Source organism: Homo sapiens, chromosome 18, assembly GCF_000001405.40.
Source record: "Homo sapiens chromosome 18, GRCh38.p14 Primary Assembly".
Taxonomy (NCBI): Eukaryota; Metazoa; Chordata; class Mammalia; order Primates; family Hominidae; genus Homo; species Homo sapiens.
The window spans coordinates 62,655,925-62,665,342 of record NC_000018.10 but is presented as its reverse complement, the minus strand read 5'-3'; the positions used below and the strand labels follow the sequence as shown (position 1 = coordinate 62,665,342).

The 9,418-nt window shown below is 43.9% G+C and overlaps 1 annotated feature.

The window, feature by feature from the left end:
* Positions 1,227–1,386: an enhancer, noted in NCBI's record as "active region_13434". NCBI's record gives its function as "activates an Ori minimal core promoter by ATAC-STARR-seq in GM12878 lymphoblastoid cells {active_cell/tissue: GM12878}" and the evidence as "EXISTENCE:reporter gene assay evidence [ECO:0000049][PMID:35858748]".

The following is a 9,418-nucleotide window of genomic DNA, read 5'->3' as shown; positions in this document are numbered from 1 at the left end:
TACAGTCCTTTTGTAATTTCAGTAATTTCCTGAGTTGCAGAGGCCTAACTGAATCAATGTTAGGCATCTTGATGGAAAATAATGGTGATGGTTTAGGAGAGTGAGGAAAAAAAGATTTTCCAACTCAAAATCCTGATAAAAACATTTGGAGAGGTGGGTATACTATTGTATAAAAATGTTTAGGGCCGGGCGCGTTGGCTCATGCCTGTAATCCCAGCACTTTGGGAGGCCAAGGCAGGTGGATCACCTGAGCTCAGGAGTTCAAGACCAGCCTGGCCAACATGGTAAAACCCCATCTCTACAAAAATGCAAAAATTAGCTGGACGTGGTGGCGTGTGCCTGTAATCCCAGCTACTCAGGAGGCTAAAGCAGGATAATCGCTTGAACCTGGGAGGCAGAGGTTGCAGTGAGCCGAGATCGTGCCACTGCACTCCAGCCTGGGCAATACAGTGTAACTTCATCTCAAGAAAAAATAAATTAATTAATTTAAAAAATAACAAAAAATAAATGTTTAGATAAAGAAATCTAAACATTATGTGCCATATAACATTTCAATCAATGATGAACTGAATATACAACAGTGGTCCCAGAAAATTATAATACTCTATTTTTACTATACTTTTTCTGCATTCAGACACACAAATACTTAGCATTGCATTACAGTTGCCTACAGTACTCAATGACATGCTATAGAGGCTTGTTGCCTAGGAGCAATAGACTAGACCATCCAGCCTAAGTGTGCAGTAGGCTATGCCATCTAGCCTTGTGTACGTGCTCGCTGTGTTGTTTACACAACAAAATCACCTAATGACACATTTCTCCAAACGTATGCTCATCTGCGCTAATGAACACAGGAAAGAAGGCCCGGGAATAGCCTTGCAGAAAGGACCTGGCTGTCAGCCTGATGCACTGTGCGGCTGGCCATCTCCTGGCAGTCCAAGGGCTCAGGCTCAGTTTACCCTCCAGGCAGTAGACAACAAGCTTCCCTGTCCTTAATAACACCCTGCATCCCACCTCCCAGTCTCTGCAAAATGCTTGAGCAAGGCATTTGGTCCTAAGAAGTTATCTCACTCTGGGCAGCCATACAGCTATTACTTATGGTGTCATTTCAAGGACTGATGAATGTCCTGGACCCCAAAATGACTCATCACCGAGTAGTGTTATCTTAAGGGAGAGGCTTCTGCCCTTGGGGCAGCTCCATGGAGACTTCAGTTAAACTGGCTGCTGAGCAAGGCGCTGATGATTCAAATTGCAACTGTTTTTCTGTTTATTTTAAGCTCAAAATAAAAAAAATCTCTCGAGTGGGTTTTGCTTATTTGAAAACTGTAAAAGGTACTCCAGTCTCCCCACATGGCAGCTTCAAGGCCCTGAAGGCTGTGCTTAACTGCAGGCCCTGGCTTGGCTTCTGGTCAAGTCATCAAGAAGCTTCTAGAATTTAAGATGGCAGTTCCCTTATCAGATCCGCTCTGCGAATATACAGGAGGGAGGCTTTGTGGCCAGAAGGCAGGTTGGGTTGTAAGACCTGTTTAATTTCTCTCAGGAAAAAATACAACAGTAAACAAAACAAATCCTGAGTACTGGCAACAAGAAAAACCAGCTTTCTGCCTAGAAATGTTTACTCTTTTACAATTGTAGAACATTCAGGAAAATCATGGACTCCAAATAAAAAACCCAACAAATAAAAACACTTCCAGTCACCTCCTAATTTTTAGAATGATTGGAGGAGATAGATGAATGATTAAATGAGTGATTAAAATGGGATTAATTATTATAATTAATCAATGAAAACATGATCACACCCAGCTTCCATCCTGGATCTAGCTGGCAAGATCCCAATTTTGGAAGCAGGTAAAACTCGGAAGTCTTTATTACAAATGACTGATTCCATTTACTCCAAATATGAGATTCTAATGTCACCCTGGGATAGAGAAACCCTCTAACTGCACAAAGTCTGTAGGTTAACAGTAAAGCCAGGGGACCAGGCCCAGTGGCTCATGCCTGTAATCCCAGGACGTTGGGAGGCTGAGGCAGGCAGATCACTTGAGGTCAGGAGTTTAAGACCCGGCTGGCCAACATGATGAAACCCCATCTCTACTAAAAATACAAAAAAATAAAAATTAGCTGGGTGTGGTGGCACATGCCTGTAATCCTAGCTACTCTGGAGGCTAAGGCAGGAGAATCACTTGAACCTGGGAGGCGGAGGTTGCAGTGAGCTAAGATCACACTACTGCACTCCAGCCTGGGCCACAGAGTGAGACTCCTTCTCTAAAAACAAACAAACAAAACAAAAACAAAACAGTCAAGCTAGGGACCTAATGATTGGAGGGAAAGGTCTCCATATTCCTTGGGGAAATCGGCTTTATTTAGACATGATGTTCCCTCTGTAAATGACTCTCAGCTGGCCTTGGGCCTGCTCTTCAACTCTCTCCACGTTGTTAAGTGTAGAATCTAAGTTTCCCATCACGTTCCTTAGATGTAGAGTGTCTGTTATTCCAGGAAATCTCTTTGATTAAATGGCAAATGTGCTGGGAGTGGTGGCTCACACCTGTAATCCCAGCACTTTGGGAGGCTGAGGCAGGCAGATAATGAGGTCAAGAGATCGAGATCATTCTGGACAATATGGTGAAAGCCCATCTCCTCTACTAAAAATACAAAAATTGGCTGGGCGTGGTGGTGTGTGCCTGTAGTCCCAGCTACTCGGGAGGCTGAGGCAGGAGAATTGCTTGAACCTGGGAGGCAGAGGTTGCAGTGAGCCGAGATCGTGCCACTGCACTCCAGCCGGGCGACAGAGTGAAAGTCCATCTCAAAAAAAAAAAAAAAAAAAAAGGAAAACAAAACCATGCCAGGCAGGTCCGCACTTTACAAACACTCAACTGATCCTTGACCTTTCCTCAGCCCCCTTCCAGGCTCCCTCCACCTCCAGGCTTTCGCCCTCCAGTGGGAGGGGCTGCCGCCACCACTGGGTCCTCCCTTGTACCTAAATTCCTCTCCACCCCAGGCCCTGGAGAGCTGCAGTTACTGTGGTAACACTAAGGAACATCCTAGCATTTGTGGGCTAGCCTACACACCTACTGACCATGACTCACATTATTTTTATGGGAAAATACCTTCTGAGTTTTAACCAACAATTCACAATCTGCTCTTGAATATGTCTATTGCTTTTATAATGCCTCCTCTTCTTGGCATCCTATGGAAATGAATTTTCATAATCATCAAAATGAACCAGTGAAAGGGCTGAGCTTAGGGCTGCAAAGTACTATAAACCTTAAAAACAAAGCGCATCAGTGTTATCGCTAGGTAAAACAGTAAGGTAAACTGCAGATCTCGGATAAGTCAAATGGGCTTTCAGCGTTCTCAACTGTAAAATGGGACTGTAAAATCAATGAGATCAGGTGAAAATGCTCTTGAAATTGTAGGGTGATAAATAAATTCAATTATTATTATCTATATTGCATTTGTTTTTTATTTATTTATTTGAGACGAAGTCTTGCTCTTTTGCCCAGGCTGAAGTGCAGTGGCACAATCTTGGCTCACTGCAACCTCTGCCTCCTGAGCTTAAGCAATTCTCCTGCCTCAACCTCTTGAGTAGCTGGGATTACAGGTGCGCGCCACCAGGCCTGGCTAATTTTTGTATTTTGAGTAGACGGGGTTTCACCATGTTGTCCAGGCTGGTCTTGAACTCCTGACCTCAGGTGATCTGCCGACTTCAGCCTCCCAAAGTGCTATAGTGCATTTATAAGAGCAAAGACTAGAGAAGGTCATCCTTGGTTCAAATCCTGGCTTTGAACCATTCTATTCTATTTACACTATTAACCATTCATTCTATTTGAACTATTCTAGCTGTGTGAACTTGAGCAGGTTACCTAAGTGCTTTGTGCCATACAACAGTTGCCCCTCAGTATCCATGGGGGATTATTTCCAGAACCCCCTGCAGATACCAAAATCCATGGATGTTCAAGTTCCTGATAAAACGCTGTAGAATTTGCATATAACTTACATCTTCTCCTATACTTTAAATCATCTCTAGATTACTTATGATACCTAAAACAATGGATGTACTATGTAAATATTTGCTATACTGTATTGTTTAGGGAATAATGACAAGGAATAAAATCTGTACATGTTCAGTACAGATGCAGATTTTTCCTGAATATTTCCAATCTGAGGTTGGTTGAGTCCACAGATGCAGAACCCACAGAGAGGGCCAACTATATTATCCTCCTGTAATAACAGTAACTCTAGAAAACGATGGTTGTGAGGATTAAAGTATTAAAAAATGTAAAGTGCTTGGACATATGAAGCGCTATGTAATGTTGGCAATGAGCAGCAGCAGCATAGCCTAACAGAAAGACAGTGGCCTGGAAAAACAGTAGCCTGGGAATCTGACAGGTCTAAGTGGATGGGGATGTCTTGTATTGTTGTAATTACATGCAGCTGCTTTATTGGTGACTCAAGAGGAAACTTGGTAATTATTTTAAATATTTGTTTCTTTTGGCTGAGGCATCACTAGATACAACTGTGAAGTAGATGAATGATTTTCTTCATAATTTGCTAATCTATTTTTTTAAGTTCACAGCCGCGGTGGCCTCCAGCCTGAGGATTCTCCTGATACATGCTACTAAGGGCTCACCTGTGCTTGCCTTCTCCCTGGGAGCTGTCGACTCACAGTTAACTCTGTAGGTTGAATACATGCCATCTGCTCTACTCCCTGTTCAAAGCCACTCAGCCATAAAGGAATAAAATAGGAAGAAGCGAATGGCAATGGAGATGCAAAAAGTGTCAACAATATTTTGGAAGACATAAGTTGTTTGGACAAAAGACTTCGAATTTAACGTCAGCTTTCTCCATTCTGCTGAGTGTCTATACCTGAAGAAGCCAATAAAAGATAAATTGAATCCGGCCTGGGGTGGTGGCTCATGCCTGTAATCCTAGCACTTGGGGAGGCCGAGGCGGGTGGATCACTTGAGGTCAGGAGTTCGAAACCAGCCTGGCCAACATGGTGAAATCTCATCTCTACTAAACATACAAAAAAAATTAGCCTAGTGTGGTGGCATGCACCTGTAATCCCAGCTACTTGGGAGGCTGAGGCAGGAGAATCACTTGAACCCGGGAGTTGGAGGTTGCAATGAGCCGAGACGGTGACACAGCACTCCAGCCTGGGCGACAGAGCAAGACTCCGTCTCAAAAAAAAAAACAACAAATAATAAATAAATACAAATAATAAATAAATAAATAAATTGAATCCACTATGAATCCTCCAAAATCTCAGAAACTGGAAGCACTAGACATCTCTGAATTCAGGGGATTAGGATGGCGCTGAAAATGACAGAATTCATTCAATGTCTGTGTAAGAAGGAGCTGGACCTCAGCTCTTCCTCCTCACTCCACACAGCCAGAGGCTGTCACTCCTCTACCACCCAGCAGGTGACAGAAGATTTGCTCTCTGAAGAGGGCAAACCAGAGATGTCCTGATCCAGGAGACATGAGGCATCACAGAGGGCAAGAAAACAAGGCATTTCTGAAATGAGTAAGGCTCTCAGAAGTCACATATGACGGGCCATTGTCCCCATTCCACCCCCAAGATGCCACACTAGCTCACTGCTTTTTCTGTGCAGGGTGACAGCATTGCAGAACTCTAGGGAACTATCATTCCATAAACTGCAAGGTCAAGGGTGCTCCCTGTATCGCCTGGGGGAACTGGTTAGCTTAAGAGAAAAAGCAGGTACTCCGCCTGTCATCTCACAGTGAGGCTACCAGTTGACAAGCCTCGTGCACATACACTGAAATTCTGATAAGTAATTTGGTGAATGGCCAAGGATCACCAGAAATTTGAGGAAGGCCTCTACTATGAAGAAGGCCAGAGATCAAAACAAAAGCAGAAAAAGAGCCCAGAAAAAACAGATGGTGCAGGAAGAAGATGACTTCAGAAAAACAATGATTAATATCTTCAAAAGAGAAGAGAAGAGAATGTATCCATGGCACAATTACATCATTCTATGAAAAGGAAAAAAATTCAAAGCATATGAAAGAATTCTTAAAAATTAAGAATAAGATGTACTATTATCCACACAATGGAATATTACTGAGGTATAAAAAGAATGAAGTACTGATTTGTGCTAAAACACAAATGAGCCTTGAAAACATGGTGCTCAATGAAAGAAGCCAGCCACAAAGGAACATATGTTGTCTAATTTAATTACATTTACATGAAATGTTCAGAATAAGGCGAGTCTGTAGAGATGGAAAGATTAGTGTTGTTTTGGGCTGGGGGAAATCGGGAGATTGGAGGGTGATAAATAAAGGGTATGGGTTTTCTTTAGGGTGATGAAAATGTTCTAAAACTGAGGGTGGGAACAGTTGTACAACTCTGTGAGTATACTACAGACCACTGAATTGTATACTTTTTTTTTTTTTTCACAGTCTCATGCTGCCACCCAGGCTGGAGTGCAGGGGCACGATCTCAGCTCATTACAACCTCTGCCTCCTGGGTTCAAGCGATTCTTGTGCCTCAGCTCCCAAATAGCTGGGATTACAGGCGCATACCACCACACCCAGCTAATTTTTTGAGGGTATTTTTAGTAAAGATGGGGTTTCACCATGTTGGCCAGGCTGGTCTTGAACTCCTGGCCTCAAGTGACCCTCCCACCTCAGCCTCCCAACGTGCTGGGATTACAGGCGTGAGCCACTGTGCCTGGCCAATTTTTATACTTTAAATGGGTGAATTGTATGGTAGGTAAATTATATTTGGCCGGGTGCGGTGGCTCACACCTGTAATCCCAGCACTTTGGGAGGCCGAGGCAGGCGGATCACAAGGTCAGGAGATCGAGACCATCCTGGTTAACACGGTGAAACCCTGTCTCTACTAAAAATAATTGGTTTTATTTTTATCACATAATGGGTGGTTAGCAGATATAGGGTCTCTATGTTGTTACCAGAGAACCAGATTATTTCTATCTTTGAGCTTAGACATCATTAGTTTTGCTCTCATCCTCACACAAAATGTTTTCTGCCCATTCTCTTCCCATCTCAGGCATTGCAAGTATGTTTCAAGCAGGAAAAAGATGGGAAAATTTGTGTCAACTGTAACTTCAACTTACAGCTCATTGGACAGAACTGTGTCACATGACTTCATCTACCAACAAGATGGCTGTGAAGCACATTGCCATCCTGCATAGAGATATGCTGTTACTAAGAAAGAAGGAAAGGTGTATTCAGTAGACAATTAGAGATCTCAACTACAGAAATAAACAGTTTCCCAAGAACTAGAAGATGGCCCCAGATTTAAAGGGCCCATTAGCACCTAGAACGAAGAATGAAAAAAGATCCACAATAAGTCATAACCCTGTAAAATTTAAGAACACCAGGCCAAGTGCAGTAGCTCACTTCTGTAATACTAGCACTTTCGGAGGCTGAGGCAGGAGGATGGCTTGAGCCCAGGAGTTAGAGACTAACCTGGACAACATAGTGACACCCTGTCCCTACAAAAAAAAATACCCCAATTAGCTGCGTGTGGTGGTGCATGCCTGTAGTCCCAGCTACTCAGGAGGCTAAGGTGGGAGGATCACTTGAGCCTGGGAGGTCAAAGCTGCAGTGAGCCATGATTGCACGACTGCACTCCAAACCTGGGTGACTGTCTCCAAACAAACAAACAAACACACATAGTTTTTTTTTTTTAATCTAAAAGCTTTCAGAGAGAACAAGCAGGCCACATACAAGGATCCAGAATCAGTACTCATTCCTTTCAATAGCAACACCGACACTATCTCAGCAGTATAGTAATCACTTAACGTCTTCCATAGGTTCTCTGAAACTGCGACTTTAAGCAGAACAACATATAACCTAACTAATTTTGCCATAAGCTAATTGATGTAAACAAGAATTAAGTTCCTATGGCATATTTCTGGCCCCCCAGATATCACCAGACTTTTTTTTTTTTTTTTTTTTTTTGAGATGGAGTCTCTCTCTGTCGCTCAGGCTGGAGTGCAGTGGCTCAATCTCAGCTCACTGCAAGCTCCGCCTCCCGGGTTCACGCCATTCTCCTGCCTCAGCCTCCCGAGTAGCTAGGACTACAGGCGCCTGCCACCACGCCCGGCTAATTTTTTTATTTTTAGTAGAAACGGGGTTTCACCATGTTAGCCAGGACAGTCTCGATCTCCTGACCTCGTGATCCACCCGCCTCGGCCTCCCAACGTGCTGGGATTACAGGCATGAGCCACCGCGCCCGGCCTCACCAGACTTCTAAATAAAGACCCCAAACACTTCTAATATTAAACATTGAAATAAATATAATCTATATATACATTTAAGAAGGATGAATAAAAACAAGCAAGATAATTATTTCCCACTTTCAGGTGAATCAGTGAGGGACGATGGTTGTTGTGGTGGTGGGTTAAATCAGGGAATAACTATTTGCAAAGTGGAAATTGTCAGGAGCACCTCCTGCCACCATGTAGCTCAGAAACAAACAAGAACAAATTCCACGGGCTCTCTGAGCACTTTTGTACCACGTCATTTATTTGTTTGTTTGTTTGTTTATTTGGAGACAGAATCTCACTTTGTCGCCCAGGCTGGAGTGCAGTGGCACAGTAGCGGCTCACTGCAACCTCCACCTCCTGGGTTCAAGCAATTATCCTGCCTCAGCCTCCCAAGTAACTGGGACTACAGGCACCCGTCACCACGCCCAGCAAATTTTTTTATTTTTATTTTTATTTTTTTGAGATGGAGTCTCACTCTGTCGCCCAGGCTGGAGTGCCGTGGTGCAATCTCCGCTCACCCCAACCTCTGCCTCCCCAGTTCAAGCGATTCTTCTGCCTCAGCCTCCCAAGTAGCTGGGATTGCCAGCATCTGCCACCATGCCCGGCTAATTTTTTTGTATTTTTAGTACAGATGAGGTTTCATCATGTTGGCGAGTCTGGTCTTAAACTTGGCCTCGCAAAGTGCTGGGATTACAGGTGCGAGCCACCACACCTGGCTGTGTATTTGTTTATTGCTGTGCATTTGTATGATTATCACAGACTTTACAAGTTTTATTTGACAATGATTTGTATCCATCCTGTTATGGTTTGGAAATGATTTGTTTGTCCCCACCAAATCTCATGTTAAAACTTGATCCCCAGGGTGGTGGTGGTGGAGGAGGGGTCTGGGGGGAGGTGTGTGGGTCATGGGATGGAACCCTCATGAATGGCGTGGGCTGGTCTCAGGGTGGTGAGTGAGTTCTCACTCTCATGAGACTGAATTGGTTCTCAGCGGGATGGATTGGTTCTAATGAGAGAGGGTTGATATAAAGTCAGCACACCCCCAGGTATGAATCCCTCTTCACGTATGCCTGCTTCCCCTTTGTCCCCCTCTGCCGTGTTTTGACATAGCACAGAAGCCCTCACCAGAAGCCGCGCAGAGGCCAGCACCATGAGTCTTATGC